Source organism: Homo sapiens, chromosome 12 (genome assembly GCF_000001405.40).
Source record: "Homo sapiens chromosome 12, GRCh38.p14 Primary Assembly".
In the NCBI taxonomy this organism is placed as follows: Eukaryota; Metazoa; Chordata; class Mammalia; order Primates; family Hominidae; genus Homo; species Homo sapiens.
In genome coordinates, this window is record NC_000012.12 from 27,954,861 (window position 1) to 27,973,287 (window position 18,427).

The 18,427-nt window shown below is 39.3% G+C and overlaps 1 protein-coding gene across 7 annotated transcripts, besides 2 other annotated features; it reads right to left on the reverse strand.

Annotated features, from left to right (window-relative positions):
- Positions 3,224 to 17,873, reverse strand: PTHLH (parathyroid hormone like hormone). Of its 7 annotated transcripts, none has more exons than NM_198965.2 (6): positions 17,663 to 17,873; positions 17,067 to 17,159; positions 15,165 to 15,407; positions 14,534 to 14,656; positions 8,488 to 8,910; positions 3,224 to 3,708 (listed from the first exon to the last, which is right to left on the reverse strand). In NM_198965.2, the coding sequence occupies exons 4-6, from the start codon at positions 14,632 to 14,634 to the stop codon at positions 3,699 to 3,701; spliced, it is 534 nt and encodes a 177-aa protein (NP_945316.1). In that variant the 5' UTR covers positions 14,635 to 14,656; positions 15,165 to 15,407; positions 17,067 to 17,159; positions 17,663 to 17,873; the 3' UTR covers positions 3,224 to 3,698. The 7 variants fall into 7 exon arrangements, with proteins under 7 accessions (NP_945316.1, XP_047285135.1, XP_016875164.1 ...); XM_047429179.1 differs by having other exon boundaries at positions 14,821 to 15,407; XM_017019675.2 differs by lacking the exon at positions 17,067 to 17,159.
- Positions 14,022 to 14,532: an enhancer, noted in NCBI's record as "H3K4me1 hESC enhancer chr12:28121815-28122325 (GRCh37/hg19 assembly coordinates)". NCBI's record gives its function as "activates a minimal SCP1, AML or CMV promoter by ChIP-STARR-seq in primed H9 embryonic stem cells {active_cell/tissue: H9 hESC(primed)}" and the evidence as "EXISTENCE:reporter gene assay evidence [ECO:0000049][PMID:30033119]".
- Positions 14,533 to 15,042: an enhancer, noted in NCBI's record as "H3K4me1 hESC enhancer chr12:28122326-28122835 (GRCh37/hg19 assembly coordinates)". NCBI's record gives its function as "activates a minimal SCP1, AML or CMV promoter by ChIP-STARR-seq in primed H9 embryonic stem cells {active_cell/tissue: H9 hESC(primed)}" and the evidence as "EXISTENCE:reporter gene assay evidence [ECO:0000049][PMID:30033119]".

The following is an 18,427-nucleotide window of genomic DNA, read 5'->3' on the forward strand; positions in this document are numbered from 1 at the left end:
ACATAGTTTCTGTCTACAACTGGTCCTGTTTTCCATGGGCTTTGTGGCCAAAGCAGGGAAAGTTGCAGTCAAACTGTAAGTTACTCTAATATTAAGTTCTAGATTATACTACCCAGTGACGGTGTAAGTATCCCAGAATTTCTTACAAGAGGCCACAACTTGAGTTCTTTAAGTATGTGGAGGTTATCTATCAAGCCATATTTCAGTATTTATTTGATGAATTGATCAGACAATAAAATTGAAGTAATACCTTCTTTTTCTTGTTGGGTTCATTACATAATATATTAAAGAGAGCATTTGGAATTTTAAAAAGATTGATTTGACTCCTTTTGTCCTTGTACTAAGAATAGATGATGAAAAATTAAAACTAAATTTGTAGCCATTATGGTTATAGTTATACTTTCTCCCAAGAAAATCTTCAGTTTCTTCATCTTTTTCAGATTGACACTGCCTGCATTCCAAACTAATTTTTGTAACAAGGAAGGGAGATGTCAATATTGACTTTAAATATTTTCAGGACCAATAATGTCAACACTGATTTTGGTTCATAACTTACGTAGCTCTAAATATATTAGTTGTATTATAAGCACATGCTTTAAAATGCACTTGTTTTACAGTGATGGCTATGAAAATACAGAGGAAAGGAACAGGGCCTTCATGCTTAAGTGTCACTTTCTATCTTTTGGAGGTGACCTCTATAATACCCATAAATACCAAATTTCTATCTGAATAGAATATGAGAAAGGTAGTGGTATGTTAGCAGATTAAGTTTTATTTTCTAAATGCCAGAATATTTAGTCCAACTTGCCTTTGTGTAAATTGTTACTGTTTTATAAACAGTACTTAAGTTGAAGATAAGCTATATTCACTAACAGTGTAATTTGCTAGGAGTTTGTTTACATTAAAATACTTATTATCTTAAACTACATATTTCAGTTTTTCTTTCATATAAAATGACTCTTTTACCCAAATATTTTTGCCTCCTTCATCTCCCAACTCCATCCCTTATCCTATGATTTTACTCTTTATCACTGCCAGAGGACCCAGGGTATGACTAAGGGCAATAATGGTATTAATAATGTTTTGGTAATAATTGATAACTATAAATCCCCAAGTTCCCTCTTCCTCCTTTCCTTTTCAGGGACAGGTTACTTGTGAAGCAAAACTTAAAGATGGTATACACTTAAAGGTGAATCTCATGCTTTCTTGCCTTGATAACTAAGTATTTACAAAGCTAGTGTTAGAAAAACTTATTTTTCATTTGAACAACTTATAAGGATTTGGTGCAATGCCACTTAAGATGTAGAGTTTCAAAACTGCTTCATGGAGTTTTGCTTGCATTTTATTAAGTCTTTGTGCATTGGCTTTAAAATTCTGAAGATTGCTTAGTTGTAAAACCATTTCCAACAAATTTTTAAGTGAAGCTAAGCACACGTTTCCTTATTTGCCTGCTAATGTAGGTTTAAAATTTATTTTTAAAAAATAGCCAAATAAGTCCTATTTTGAAGACTATGGAATCTAAGTGAAAGTATAAATTCAGTCTTAGAACAGTCCTCCCAGAAACATAATTCTACTCACACTCAGTTCATACTAATATCTCCTTATGTGTTTTTTCCCCTTTTCTAGCTATCTATAGGATTTTGGATCATTTCAGCATTTAGTTCTTTCATGTATATGTATGGAACAATCTACCCACTGGAGTAAAAGGCTCTTAAAGGCATTTTACTTCTTGTGCACCCCTCAAACATCTAATAGACATCTAACAGGATATGGGCACTAATAGAATACTTCCTCCATATGTGCTTGCTTGATTCATAGGTTTTTTGTTCTGTTTTTCACTAAGCTGCAGACAGCAAAGAAAACAGATCTGTAGAAGGAAATGTGTTCATGTTTCCATCTGAACATAATGGTAGGAACCACTAGGAGGATATTCAAAAGTCAAAAAATAACAGATGCTGGTGAGGTTGTGGAGAAAAAGGAACGTTTATACACTGTTGGTGGGGGTGTAAATTAGATTAGCCACTGTGGGAGAGAGTGTGGCAGTTCCTCAAAGACCTAAAGACTGAAATACCACTTGACCCAGCAATCCCATTACTGGGTATATACCCAAAGGAATACAAATTGTTCTATTACAAAGACACATGCATGCATATGTTCATTGCAGCACTATTGACAATAGCAAAGACGTGGAATCAGCCTAAATGCCCATCAATGATAGACTGGATAAAGAAAATGTGGTCCATATACACTATGGAATATTATGCGACCATAAAAAAGAATGAGATACTGTCCTTTGCAGGGACATGGATGGAGCTGGAGGCCATTATACTTAGAAACTAACACAGGAACAGAAAACCAAACACCACATGTTTTCACTTATAAGTGGGAGCTAAATGATGAGAACACATGGACACATAGAGGGGAACAATACACACTGAGGCCTATTGGATAGTGGAGGGTGGAAGGAGGGAGAGGATTAGGAAAAATAACTAATGGATACTAGGCTTAATACCTGGGTGATGAAATAATTGGTACAACAAACCCCCATGACACGTGTTTACTCTGTAACAAACCTGTGTATGTACACCTGAACTTAAAAGTTAAAAAAAAAATACAAAAGAGATTCCACATGGCATCACAACCAAGCTGTCTGCAACTAGAATTCCAGGAACTGTGATACCACAGGAAAGCAATGCTCACCTTTGAGAGCTTTTTGAGCAGTTACTTATTTCCCAAACTTGAGTCTTTCTCCTTTCTGTTAGGAACCTTAATAGGCAGTATTCTCAACTAGCTCTTTTATGCTTAATATCGTTGTTACTAGTAAGAGCAAAATCTCTTAAATTACACTTTACATTTACGGCCTTATAGTCTCTGACTGGCCTCTTTCCCTTTTTTCCAGCTCTGGCCAACCTTCTGGACTTAATGTCTTTAATCCTTTCTCCTGATTTCTTTCTGCTTCTTTTCTGCCCACTCCTGTCTGAACTTCAAATTGAATGTACTTTATAAAATGACATCTAGATAGTTCAGCCATGCTGTTGACTTGAACTGAAATATTGAACAAAATACATTTTAAGTTGTTTTTAACTAAAAGCTAATGTAGAATTTTTGGAATGTGTACCAACATAAACATACTGTGTTTAAGATTGTATTCAAATCGCTTTTTAAAAAAACATATCATGTTCCTTCTACTAAAAATCTTAAAGGATAGAATTCACTCTCTGAATCATGATGTAATTAGATTATATTTTATTAGACATTCTTTACAAATTTAAAATACTGTTATTTTTACATGCACAAAGGAAAATCAATTTGGATAATTATATTTAGGCATTCATTAAAATCAACCACAAAATAGAGACACTTCATTGTGTCATTTATCAACATACTTGATATGTATATCTAAAGTGCATTATGTTACAAAAAATATAGAAATTCAGCAGCACCAAGATACATTTACAAAATAAATACATCAATGGACAAAATAAATTATGGTAAATGTGATAATAATAATTGGATTAGCCTTGGCAAAAAAAAAATATTCACAATGACCAATGTGCAGTTTCATAGAGCAATGGGGGAGACAGTTTTATTCCAATGCATTTACAGTATTTACAGACAATAAATATTTCTAATACTTTCCATATGTTCACTATTACAGAATCCTGCAATATGTCCTTGGAAGGTCTCTGCTGAAAATTTCAATGCCTCCTGCAAAAAGAAGGAAGAGAAAGAAAAGGAGAAAACAGGTTAGTTTTCTTTACAAATGAAAACATAAAATATAAAGGATATAAGCTAAGGAATGCAAAATCACAATGGAAAGAGATTCAGGGAACTTCTTGTAAATATCTCCTGCAAGAGGTATCTGTGGGATCCACCCAGATCTCCATAACCTCTGTTACAGGCAGGGTCTTCAACCTGACTTAGCCCATATGTGCGGAAAGGAAAAGGGCCTGCGTTTCCAATCATGCTGTCAGAAAAAGGAGACTGTGGAAAAATTTTCCAAGACTGCCAGCTGGCAAGTTTGGGAAGAGAAGGGACAAATTTAAGAACTTGGAAATGAGGTTACGTTGGACCATCCATCATTAAATACAATTCACTTGGAAGTTTATTCCCCAGTGACACCTGAATTAGGCAATCCAAAGCTTGTTTATTTTGTTCAGGTGCTCATTTGGACAATCTCTCACAACATAGTGGGCTGTGGTGAGGATAGTGGAAGTGTGGACTTTGGGAACAATTGGAAGGATGTGTAGTTAAATAGAGTTGATGGTATAATGATATCCATCTTAGTTGATGATATGATATTTGGCATTTCTTTAGCTGTCTTTAAACACTAATGAATGAAACTATTATTGGATTTTGTAGTAGTTTTCAAAGCCAAAACTAAAACAGAATCATTTGTCTCTCACTCTGTTGGTTTTTGAATGGATTTTTCTGTTAGCATTGGGAAAGTCTACTGTAAATGCGGGAATAATTAAGAATAAATTAATTTAAAAGTATAAAATATCAGTATTTCATATCACCATGTCTGTTTTATTATTCTGAAGTTACTAGAAACTGACACCTTTTCTAATCTATCTAAATACTGTAATGACAGTATTTTAAGATGGGTTAGCGGAGTTTTCTTTGCTTTTCTGTCTCCCTTTCTCTTCTCTTTGTGTGGTCTATGTATTTGTTCCCAAGGAAACAACTACAGAATGGAATTTGATTGGCTATGTCATTGAATTAACAGTCAGAGTTGTGGCAGAGTTTTACATGGCAGACATATATGGGTGTAAGACCTACAAAGCAGCATATTCTTAACAATTTTGGGGTTTTCTATGCTGCTTACAGAAAAAGCAAATTGAACATTTAAAAGTGTTTTAATGTCTTAGGTTATTGATCTCTTCACCAATGGTTTTGGTGGGAATGTTAAAATCGCTCCAACTGCAAAGAAAAGAAGAGTTTAAGATTAAAATTTTAATTGGTGGATGGATGTGGATAGATGATATGAATAAAGCCAAAAAGATGACCTCAAAACTCAATAATCTGCATTCTTTACTGATTTTTAAATGTGTTTGTACTAAATGGTATTTTGTGAATTGAGTATAAGAATAACACAAAGAGGGAAGGAAGAGGATTTTTAACAATTATTTCCTCAGAAAGAAAGAAAAAGAAGTAAGTTAAAGGACCAAGGAGAAATCTTCTATGTATCTCACCCTGCTCAGATGTTTGCTCATTCTCCTTTCTTTTGATTTCTCCTTTAACAGAGGCATGTATTGGAATAGCCAAGTAAAACACCTAACAGGATCTAAAAGTGTATGTGTATGTTTACTATATGTGTGTGCATATGACAGCATTTTACAGTCCTAGCTCTTTTTACTATGGACTTTTAATATTTTTATAAATCAGTATTTTCCAAGGCAAAAATGATATGATTTCTAACAAATGAGTCCCACTGTATCTGGATATCACATTTGAAGCATTGAAAATTCTAAAATATAATTCCTCCAATTTAAAGCTATATATTTTTCACTGAATGGTTCATGTGAGAGGAAAATAGACAATTTTACCTCAGTTGTTTTTTCTAAAAGAATGCTGTATTATTGGCCGGTGTGGTGGTTCATGCCTGTAATCCCAGCACTTTGGGGCAGGTGGATCACCTGAGGTCAGGAGTTCGAGACCAGCCTGGCCAACATGGCGAAACCCCATCTCTACTAAAAATACAAAAATTAGCCAGGCATGGTGGCGGGTGCCTGCAATCCCAGCTACTCAGGAAGTTGAGGCAGGAGAATCTCTTGAACCCAGGAGGCGGAGGTTGCAGTGAGCCGAGATTACACCATCTCACTCCAGCCTGGGCAACAGAGCAAGACTCTGTCTCAAAAAAAAAAAAAAAAAAAGAATATTGTTTTTCAAACTATTGTATGTATTATAATCAAGTTCATGCTTGCCATATCATCAGATCTCTTGGTTCACCATGTAACAATGCAAAAAGACTAAGGAGGGGACGTTAATAAAAGACTTATCACTTATAAAACTTTAGGTATTCTGAAAAGATTTTATCTGGATTACAAAACTTGCATGGCCCCATACATTCTCATCAATACACTCCTAAGCTTCCTCACTCTTCCCTGAACCTCTGTTGGATTGTGTTGGGAGAGTGCCAACATTTGGCTGCCAAACAGTTCTTTCCATGAATGTCCCTCACAAACAGGGAAGAGAAAGGAAAAGCAGAAACCTCCTATTTCTTTCAGCCCTAGGTCTGGATTTGATTAGGCCACTGTCTAATTTTCACTAGACCTACTTTAACTTAGGGGTAGTTCCAGGCGTAAGAATTGACGAGTGTTAATTTTCATCAATTCTCCAGATACTTAAAGAACATTGCAAATTTGAAATAAATAAAATCCATCAAAAGTTATTTATACCTCTTTTTATAACTCATATATATACGTATATATATATACGTATATATATATATATATATACGTATATATATACTTTTTGCCTCATAGAAACATATCCCCCTAGATAGATAGATAGATATAAATAGATAGATGATAGGTAGAGGATACAATCAGAACTAGGTCTAAAAACACCAAAATAATATGTTGCAATTTATTGAATGTTTACTATATACATATATGTTTATATATATATGTTTATATATATGACATGTTTATATATATGAGACAATGGATAAAAATAGGTTTTGGCAATAAAGTAGGGTCCTTACATTAGTTATAAATATATACAGTTAGGATCCTATCTTAAAACACACTAAATATGTGCAGTAAGCCAGAATTTATAGGGTTTGTTACCCTTTAGAGATCCATTAGATGTTTGCAGGATAGGTCATTCACTGTGCTCAAGATTTTTCTAGTGCCACTGCCCATTGATTACTGAAGCTGTACTACTTATCCCATATGATTGCTATTTTATGTGCTATTTAATGATGGGTTTGCCAGCTTAAAGAGACAAATAATGGTGAATAGGTTCAAGGTCCCCTTTGAAGCATCATCCTATAATCCTATCTGTAGCAGAGTCAAAGGAAATGACTAAAGAAGTAACAGGGGACTCTTAAATAATGAGATCATTAGTTGCATATGATGTGTTCTTCTGTTGTTTTCCTTTTTTTTTTTCAAACCCCACAGAAGTGCTGTACTGAAAAGTGAAAAGAAAAAAAAATCATTTCAATGGAAATGCATCGATAAAGAAGCAGGGCAAACATAGCACTGTCTACGTGTCAGAAAACAGGGAGATAAATCCAGCTTTGGGGCCACCTATTTCAATTCCAAGGACTACTCAGGTCTTTTAGCCGTGGAATGCCTTGGCTTTCTATTTTATAAAATGGGATTAATATTTGCCCCACTTTTTGCCTCATAGAAACATACCCCCCTAGATAGATAGATAGATAGATAGATAGATAGAAATAGATTATAGATAGGTAGATGGTACAATCAGAACTAGTTCCAAAAACACCAAAATAATATGTTGCAATTTATTGAGTGTTTACTATATGACAGATATTTAGTCCACATATAATCTCATTTAGTTGACACCAAACTCTATGAGGTTGGTACAATTATATTTCACAGAAGATGTAAGTGAGTCTTAGAAAGGCAGAGTAACTTGCCCTAGGTTGTGAACTTAAATAAATTCAGACCCAAGACTTGGCCCTAAGTTATTTGATCCCAAAGTCTAGGAGTGTCATTATTACCTCAATCTGTGAGCTAAGGATAAACAAGCCACATAAATGTGAAGTTTTATTTTTCCTACGGCATTACCCTAGAAAAATTATTTCATCTTGCCAATGAACAAAAAGATACATGAGAAAAACCTATATCCTTGTAAGTTAATACTTAAACATTTTCAGAAACCATTTATTTTGTATGAGCTGGTAGAAACCAGAGTTAAATTTAATTAAACAAATTTAAGGCATGTGTTTAAAACATAATTTAAGTTCTTTACATTAAAATAAATTTGAGATTTAATTAAATACATTTAATTAAATAAAAAGTGTGAATGGCTCAGAATCGTTTATGACATGATGCTGTTCTGCAGTGTTTGTAGATAATATCAAATGCTTCTATATTCTCCCTTGAAGTGAAAGAACGTAAGAAATGAAAAACACTGAAGAAAGTTTGCCCAGGTGTGAGAGTAAGGGGAAGAAACACACTTCTCCAGCAAATTATGAAGATGGTCACTAGCTTCTGAAGCTTGAATATGAAATTATTTGGTAGAGTGGTAAAGGATTGATGTTGGGTGACGGTGGAGAAAGAGGAATGGGCTCTAGCGCCTCTCTATGGTGCTGGAGGACAGGGGTGTGTGTGGTAGGGGGGTACTGCTTTAAGGCAGACAATATTCTGAGTTATTCTCTGTCAATTGCTACACAATCGATAGAGATACATAAAGGGAGAAAATTCTAGGTTTGTCCAAGCCAAGGCAGAAGGGAGGCTCCAAAACCCAGCTGAGAGCACCCCGCTGAGGCTACGGGCCAGAGAAGCCTGTTACCGTGAATCGAGCTCCAGCGACGTTGTGGAGGTGTCAGACAGGTGGTCCCCTTCTAGCCCACTCCCAGTCACTCCAGAGTCTAACCAGGCAGAGCGAGTTCGCCGTTTTTTCTTTTCCTGCTCCTTGCGTTTCCCGGGCTTGCCTTTCTTTTTCTTCCCAGGTGTCTTGAGCGGCTGCTCTTTGTACGTCTCCACCTTGTTAGTTTCCTGAGTTAGGTATCTGCCCTCATCATCAGACCCAAATCGGACGGGGTGGTTCTTTGTGTTGGGAGAGGGCTTGGAGTTAGGGGACACCTCCGAGGTAGCTCTGATTTCAGCTGTGTGGATTTCTGCGATCAGATGGTGAAGGAAGAATCGTCGCCGTAAATCTTGGATGGACTTCCCCTTGTCATGGAGGAGCTGATGTTCAGACACAGCTCTTTTGCTTTGAAAGAAAATATTAGAGGGGAAGAAAACAGTTAAATTTTAGTTGCTGATAGAGACAACAAAGACATGAGTAAATCTCTTTAGTTTTCTAGTTGGTCCACCGTAAGACACAAGCTGGATGGGTAGCAAGCTCATTGCGCAGGGAAGGGTAACCAGTGGGAAGGAAAGAGCTGGCAGTTGGAAGGCTCCAGCTCATGGTCCCAGTTCTACCACTCACTAGGTTGTGACCTTGGTGGGAACATGAACATTCTTGGGCCTCATGGGCTTCAACTGTATAAAAGGAAGGGGTCAGAGACAGTGATTTCTATACTTCCTTCCCGGTTTAAAACATATGATTCAGTTATGATCAGAAATAGACAGAAACCACGGAGTATCTCTTCACATTTTTCAGAGTTCTGCTGAGAAAATAAATCTAGAAGTCCCAGCCTGGGAAATAAAAGGCAGCTGCTTTTACCTGAGTATTCTCTCTCTCTCTCTCTCTCTCTCTCTCTCTCTCCTCTCTCTCTCTCACACACACACACACACGCCCCATTAAGAAAATAATAATATTGAAACAGCAAGCCGTAAGAGTAAAAACAAACAAAGGCTGAAGGAGAAGTGAGCAGTGTAGCCTGTCTAGGAAACCATCTGATTCACAGACTGAACTTTAACATTTTAGACTACTGGCTACCAAGAACATACATTTGAAGGCCAATCGTCAGAGAGAGAGAGAGAGAGAGAGAGAAAGAGAGGGAGAGTATGTGTATTTTTCTGTAAAGTAGTGGGTGGTCTCCTTAAAATGGGTTTCTTTGTGTGCTTAAATGAGCTCATTCTATTTCTTCTGTGCTTCATGTTTTTTTTTTAAATTTAGAACTTCAGAGAGTATGATCCTTACTACTTAGTTGAGAAGTTCACTTTTCTACTTGCTCTCTTTGTCTTAAAATTCTCTAGGAAAAAATATAAAGGATTTTTCTATTTAAATGACACTCTAATGAAAATATCGTGAGAAAGAATAAACTAATTCTCTATCAATCCTTTTAGATAACACCCAAACTCTTGCTTAAATGTCCATTGTGTATTCTTTTATTATTTTGTGTATATTATTAACCATATTTACGGACTGCATCTGTTAATCAGTCATATCATGCCTGCTTCAACTCTGCATTAACTCCAATTTCTACCATTGGAATAGTCCTCCAAACTGGCCCATCCTCAAAAGCATCTCAAAGTGTTTCCCAGGGCTACATCCCATGTACTCTTACTTCCCTGAAACAATGGTGTCTGGGTCCTTTGTTGCCTTTGTTGGTGCAATGTCTTTAACTCCTCAGAGAAATATGGCAATCATAAATAGCATTATTACTGCCCCCATTGTATTCATGGGGAAAGTGAGGTGCAGAGAGGTTAAATGACTTGCCCTAGTCTACACAATGAGAACTGGCAGAGCCAGGGCTCCAAAAACTAGGTCTTCTGATTCTAAAGCCAAGACTGCTTTTTCAATTTCCTCAACGCTTTCTCCTGCCTAAGCGGAAGCTGAAGCTGAAGTCCCAGCCTGTTCCTGTGTTGAGGCAACACGGTAAGGAGAGTACAGGGTATATGCATGGGGCATAGAGTAACAAGCCACCACAATAATAGGCAGATTGGACAGAAATTTATCAGTTTCCTTGAAGATCAAGCCTATTGCCCAGAAAGTTCATTTTCATCATCAAATTTAGGAACTACAAGAGTTTGGATTATCACTGGATGAATGAGTCAAAGAAAAGAGTAAGAGATGAAAATACAGTCATCATTTCTCTGGCCCTTCTAGCTAGAATGTCAGCTACCTTCTAGTATTTTAGTGTGTGGACTGACTTGAAGCCATGTAGCTCATTCAAAAAAGACATGACTTAATGGAAAGGAATTTAACAGGAGCCTGGTTTAAATGAGGCATGAAGGAGTCTCTCTTTCTTTTAGAAGGTGCCACATGTGACTAGATTAAAATTCACTTACTCTGCGGTAATAGTTAGTATTCTGGAAACTTTTAAGAATCTACAAGTTTGAGGCTTTGGTACAAGGTATTTATATCCTTTAATAACATTTATAAAATAATAGGACAGATATAATTGCATATTTCATAAGCACTACAGTTTAATAAGTATCTTTTAGCAAAATGTCACATTAAAAAGCAGTTCTTAACCACTGATAATTTATAGTATTGGGGGCTTTTATTTCTTTCTCTGTTCCTGGCAGAAGCCCTCGTCTTCTGTATTGCTCTCCAAATGGATAAAGTGTAGCCCATTTTAGCTTAACTTGAGGCCAAAACTTTTAATGGTTGGTCTATTCTAATTAAGCCACCATTGCTCATATGCCCCTTCTCATGGGCATATGTGCTTGTCATCTTGGCCAGCCTGTCAACTGTGAGTCACAGTGCCTTCCTAACTCAAGCTGCATTTTCCCAGGATAGTTCTCTTGGGAAATGCAGTGATCATTCCATCCTTCTAATTTATAAAAAGCCTACAATATGGCACAGCTTTGTTCAATTTAAAATAGTACATTGCTTACGAGGGACAAAGCTTTTCATCTGCCTTTTGGGGGAAACTGTTAGTATCTTGGAAAACACAAGTTTTCTTAAATGCTAAATTGGAAATGCTGTTAGACACTTTACTTAGTATTTCAAAAACTTCTGCAATTAAAGTATTGTGAAGAATGAATCTCTCACTAGGCAGTTGCATTAGAGGATCAGGAATATAATGGCATCAGTATAAACTAGGTATACAGAGGTAGTGAGTAATAAATTCAAATTAAGGACGTTTTCAATTTAGATAACTCTGAAATATTTAAGTTGTAAATATGGCCTCAATAATAGTCTTTTACTCAATTTGTCTGTAAACATTACATAGCACTATGGTTCACATGACACTTACATACCTAAGCTCCAAAATGGAAAAACAGGTAGGTTATGTATCATGTTCTCCTTTGATTATTGTAAAAAAAAATTGCAAAATTTTGGGGAAATGCTTATCATAGATAACCCTAAATTCAGCCCAAACATAGTTCTTCTCCTTTAAAAAAAAAATCACTCCAAGGGAGTTTTTAGGGAAGAAGCTTAGATTTCTAAGGAACTATCAAGGAACAGAGGGCATAAAAACAGTGATGGAAATTCCCTTTCCAGCACAGGAAGAAGCAGTATGCTTGTACTGATGCTAGGCTTCTAAGGACGGACTCTGTGTTTGAGAAGAAAAGTTCTGTGGTACATGCAAGAGACAGGGTTAGGGTGTTAGAGTTAAGATGACTCACCAGAAGGTCCTTCCAACCCAAATGACTCAGTAGAAAGTTATGCTTTTCATTAAATGGAATAGACCCAGTCTGGCTCCTAAGCAAATCAGCCAATGACGTTTTAGGTTTCTGAATCTGTGGAGTTCCCTCTCTAACTTAAACATAGAGATAGCCACCTGCCAGAAGCCTTGTTCATCTGCACAAGAACATCCATAGGCCTCACTTTCCAGTATCCAACTTGATCATGCTCTAGCTCCATTAATTAAAATCTTTGGGATTAACAGGTCAAAAAGACTCACAATTTGTAACTGCTTCCTTTGCATGGTTTAGGAAGTCTTATTGTTATAGTAATTTCCTCTCCCTTAAAAGTTAGCATCTAGTTAAAAAAAAAATCTATACTTCTAAAGCAGTTTCCCTAATACTTGGTGTGAAAACCGGGGAGTAATATGGTTTGATTATATGTTAAAATTTCTTTCAAGAAACTAGCTTGATTTAGCATAATGGTAGACTTATGTTTTGTCTAGCACACAAAATTTACTGTTACTTGGCAGCAAGACAAAAATAATGACTTGTTTTTAAAAACTCCATTTGGCTATGATAATTTGATGAAACATCTTCATCTACTGATGATTTCAGCCTCCATGAAAAACCATGCCTGTAATGTGATGATCTATTACCCATTAACTATGAGAATGTTTTGTGGTAGTTTTATAACCATCTGCTGAGTGTGAGTGTTTAACTACAATATTATATTTCACCCACAAACAAAACTATAACAGTCGCTGGCTGCTAAATGGTTTCTGATGTGTGTTTTGTAAGGTGCAACAAAGAAAGAGTTAAAAATAGCCTTTAGGACAACTTAGCAGTATTTTTATGCCATAGTTGTGTATATAATCGTGAATCATTTGCTGTTTCTCAAAAGAGAAAACAGGTATTTCTTAAGCAACTTTAAAGAAAAAATTGGCTCTGTTCCAAGGTAGTATTTCTTAGCCAAATAAATATAGTATTTAAGTGTGCTTTTAAAAATTCAGTCTTCATTTCTATTTATGTATGAATTTCAAATTATTGAATTTAAGACAAGTTTCAAAATGAGCAAAAAGTCTGAAGACAATTTTCAGAAACACATCGGTAAAATGTTGATCTGAAGAATACAATGCAGCCTTATCTTCGGTATAATGTTCTACACAATTTGCCTTAGGAGATTCATAATAGATTTTCATTTTGATGCCAAGGTTCCGACATGTCTAAAGTAATTTCATTTAAGGATTTTCTCCTCTAATAATAATAGACCACAAGCACGTATAAAACAGTTGCCTTTTTGTACACCCTCGGGAATTTACAAGGAAGCACCATAAACCTGACTGTAAATATTAGATACTGCTATTTTTATTGTTAGTGTAAAAATTTGCCTTAATTCCTTCTCCAGAGTCAAACGCATCTCAGTTCTCGAACTTTATAGTTTTCCCATTCTGAACACTGAGTCTGCAGTTTAAAGATCACCCAACTATGGTGTTATACACATTAGTGAACTGCTAGGTCCAACAGATTATTAAGATCATGTTACTCTATCACTCTTCCAAGTTTTCAGTCACACGACATAGTGATATTTCTCTGGTGTGCTTGGATGTATGATTATTTCAAAGTTGAAGTTATCATTAAAAGAATCACCAAGTGAGAATGCCAAAATACAAGTTTTCAGTCTACAATGCAAATATTTGACTCCAGATTAAAGAACTGTTAGCAATAACTCCAAGAAAAAAAAGGTTCCACACCTAAAATTCATTTTGGAATCAAGCGCTCTAGCGTTCCTGAACTGTATCAATACTAACATTGGAGTCGTGCCACTGCAAAGTTGTTGCTACTTTATTATATAATACGCTTTTATTATGTAATGTGTTCCTATTTTATATGCTTAAAATTATGTCATTCATAATAAAATTAGATGTACGGCTTTTGCTTTTTCACACGCAAACCGCCACCCACATTCAGTATGTATACAAGCGCGCAGGCCATACGTCCCCAGGACCGCTCAGCTTCCTCCGAGTTTCAGAAGCTTCCCGGGTCCTGACAGTAACCACCACCCCCCAACTTTTTTTCTTTTCCACTAGAGGCAGAGGATCTTTCCCTAGAAGAGATTCTGTGAAACGCTCCCTCTTATGGAAACACACATAAAGTCTCTCTCTTGCCTGTCTCCCGTTGAAGATCAACCAGTTCTCCTGCCAGGTTTGAGGACCCGGGCTCAGGCCCCGGCAGGTATCCGGGATGGTCCCTCTCCCTAACCCGGGCAAGGAGCATCGGTGACCGCTGCAAGCCCTCGGCAGCATCCCAGCTTGGCAGCCCCTCCCCCTGGCCTCCCCAACCCGGCGCCCTGGGGAGGATGGGGCACTTACAGGCGGCGGCTGAGACCCTCCACCGAGCGCCCGCAGGAGGGCACCGCGTAGCTCAGCAGGAACACCGCGACGCTCCACTGCTGAACCAGTCTCCGCTGCATCGTCTCCGCTCGCGCTCGGGACCTGCAACAGAAGGGAATGGGACCCGAGTGTCAGTCTGGACTCTCCATCTCCCCGCACTACTCCGCTCCCCCTTTTTAGCCCGCTCTCAAAAAGCCTCTTCAACATCAAGGGCATCTCCCAAGTTGAAAAGAAAAAAAATTTCTCTGGAGCCTCTCAGCACTTACTTATTTAGCAACCGGCTACTCCAACTGTGCTTTCTCCAAACCACACAGCCAGAAAGAGCAAAAAGGGAAAAAAGAAACAAATCAGAGGCGCTTCCTCTGAAATAATAGCGAAAATAAAATGGTTTTATATATGCATCAATGATAAGTAGTGTGTTTACACGTCTCCCATAGCAATGTCTAATTAATCTGGCCAGCAGTTCTCCTGGGTTCGTGGAACAGGGCTAACCGCCTCCTAAAAGAAGAAAGTTTCCCCCTCTGAAGTCAGCTTCTTTGCGAACCAGGCCCTTTCGTTCCAGAGCCACTTGTAGCGAAACCCACATATATATACATAGCTGTCTGTCTACCTCCTCTGGTGGGCTGGTTGCTTCCGGAAAGTTGATTCCACACACCCTGAGAACAAGTTTCAAGTGCGTGTGTCGTCGATCAGGAGGGCCAGGTGGCGGCGAGGGCGGGTCGTTAGTGGCAGCCGGAGCGGCAGGGAGGCGGCAGCCCCGCTTCACGGGCGGGGAGACATGCTGGCCGGGCGGCGCAGGTTGGAGGCGAGTTGAAAACCGAGCGGAGGAATGTTCACACGCTCCGAGGCAAACCTGCCGGAGAAGTGAGCTAGTCGCAAAGAGGTGGCGCCCTAGGAACGCGCGCGGGGCGAGCGAGGGCGCAGGCGGGCTGGCGGGCGGGCGCGCGGGGGGCGGGGGCGGCGACGGGCGGCCCGAACGGGCCCCGCGCCGCCCGAGCGAGTGGAGGGGAGCCCCGAGCCGGGAATGAGCGGCGAGCGGCGGAGCTCCCCCCTCCCGCGCTGCCGACCCCGGAGCTGTCAGGAGCTCTGCCGAGCCCCACCCCGGAGCCCGGGCCCTGTCGCGCCATCCCCGTGCCGGGGGCGTGGGCGCATCCGCTTGCTCCCTCCAGGCCCGGCCGGCTCCTGCCGGCGCGGCGGATCCGGGAGCCGAGATCCCCGAGGGCGTGCGGACTGCCCCGGGCAGCCGGCGGTCCCCGGCGCGCCGAGCTGGACGAGCGGGCGCCAAGACCACCAGGGGCGGACCGACGAGGAGGAGGCCAAGGAGCTGGGCCGGGGACCGCGGGCAACCGGGAGCCTGCGCGGAGAGGACGCGGGCTGTTGGCCTGTGAATTTAAGGAGCCCGAAGCTCGCCTGGCAGCTCGGGGCGATGCATGAGAACCTTCCTCCCTGGCCCATTCCCGGGATGAACTGAGTGGGGAGCATCGGCTAGAGAGAGGGAGATCTTTTGCTTAGAAGAACAAAAACAGTTCCAGATTTCATATCTAAATTGCACTTTTTGCTGTTTCAGAACTGCTGGGAGACATCTGGAGCCGGTCCCAAAAAACCCGCGCACAGGAGAGATCCCCCTTTTGAATTGCAGAGGGGGACCGACACTCCTGGAGCACGCACACGGCCCTTTTCACTCATGGTCGGGAGTCTAACCCATCCTTTCTCTGATACCCTACCTGCTTGTCCCCTCCCCCTCAAAAGTCCCAGGTTACAGATTCTTGGAAGACTGTATCCGAGTCGCTGCAGCCAGCGGACAGATGCAGTGGAACTATGGTTATGTGCTGCTCTGCCTGGGAGAAGCGACGGGAAAGCCGAGGTTCTTTCCAAAGCTAATGGGCGGGGAAGAAAGACTGCTCGGAATTACTGGGTAGTATCATCTAGGAAAGGATTGCAGCGGGAGTGGATACCCTCCCCAGGGCTCCTCTAACTTTTTGAAAAGAGCGCGAGTGGACTGGGAACCATTCAAGGGATATTTGTCTTCTAGGCAATCCTGCTGGTAGGGTTCATTAGTTTCTAGAAGGCTAGTGTGATTTAGATTCTTGAGATGATTCAAGGAATGTGGCCTTTATCAAGCCCGACTTTCCGGGTGATGCTCCACATATTTTACCCAGGGTGGGAGAAATAGCACGCTGTCACCGAGACCCTCGCTCATCGGGGCTCCCACTGGTTCACTGCAGCTAGCTAGCAGTTAAAGTTTACTGCTTAGGTTGGGTGGGGGGGCATATTTTCTTAGAAGCTCCTGCCTTCCTCAGTTCATTACTGTAAACCCCGTACCTTAAAAGACTCGGCTTCTTCTCACTAACAAAGAAAAAAAGCAAAACAAAACCAAAACACACACACGCACACACACACACTCTCTCTCTGGGAATTTCCACAACTTCCCTTGAATGTGTAAGGATTTCTAAATGTTAGACTTGTTTGGATAGTATGAAAGGACAAAGTATCAGCACTCAGAAATGTCAACCTTTGAACCTCGAACACTTTCTGATTTATAAAAAGAATCCTTCCAAAAAGATGCAGGAGCCCTAATGTAATCGTTAGATCTGAAGGGGGAAATCTGTAAAAAAAAAAAAAAAAAAAAAAAAAAAGTCAATCACAAATGAGCCATTTAATACTTGCAAGTTGTTTAACATTGAAATGATAATATTTGCTTCCACAATAAAAAGTCCAAGGTACCTAGCCAAGTTTCAAACTATCCAGGCTTTAAAAAGTCAACCCTTCTCCCAATAGAAGGTTAAAACAAAAATCAGATTGAAATTATCAAATCACTTATGTTGTAAATAAATTCACTTTACTTTCAGAACATTATAAATTAAGGACTGGCATCAATAGACTGCTTTGATTTATGTTGCTTTTTCTACTAATTAAACAAAATTAACCCCCCACTCCTTCCCTCCTTTCTTTTTCCCCACACACTTTTCTGGTGTTAATGGCAAAACATCTATCAAATATTTTTAGAATTTCCTCTCCTCCACAAAAAGAGAAAATATAGACACAGGAAAAATAAATAGTCTTTATATACTCGGAATACCAAAGTTCCCTCCTAATTTATTACTTCACCTTTTCCTTGATTTACAATCTTCTCTCTGCTCTTCTGGCTGAAAGAGGGAAATCTTCTCAGCAGTCTTTTCCAGAAATATTTTTTGTTGTTCTTCAGAAAACATAAAATTAAATCTTAAAATGAATTAAAAGCTTCTTGAAAGGAGACTTCTGTTCCCACTAAAGGCAATTATTAGAAAGCAGGTACCTCTTCCAAGCTGCCCTGTTTATTACTTTCCGTAGAAATTCTCCTCAATATATACCCAGGACCCTGACTTTTTGCCTGTTTTGGAAAGGATATTTTCTGACATCATAATCTAGTTCCTAACATAACTGAGTAATCTCCATCATAATAATGCAGAGGATGCATGACTGCAAATGAGACACAGCAAGAGCACCCCCTACCACCTCCCTCCCCCCCCCGTCCCCCCAGCCCACACACACACCTTTTTTCTAAGGTTTAGAAATAGAACAAGTGCCAATAGAAGCTAAATGTTTGCTTAGGCCTTGCTGTCATGTAAATGCACCTTAGCAAATGGGAAGGCCTGCCTCTAATCTGAAGTATTTCCATGTTTAGCATTATAAGATCTACACCTACACAAATGCCTAGCCCATGAGCACCAGGCTTCCATCTTCCCATCCCCAGTGGCAGTTTATTACAGTATATCAAATTTTAAAAGAGGTTGAAAAAATTTTAAATGCATTACTCTTAAATTCAGTTGAATACCCAGTTAATGTATATCTCCTGTCATAGCTTAGAAAAAAGTAAATAGCATTTATGCTTAG

Excerpts from the sequence above, each read along its gene's own strand:
- PTHLH (XM_017019675.2), bottom strand. The coding sequence starts at position 14,634 with ATGCAGCGGAGACTGGTTCAGCAGTGGAGCGTCGCGGTGTTCCTGCTG. Across the intron at positions 8,911-14,533 it reads GAGGGTCTCAGCCGCCGCCT|CAAAAGAGCTGTGTCTGAAC; the intron begins GTAAGTGCCCCA and ends TTTCTTTCAAAG.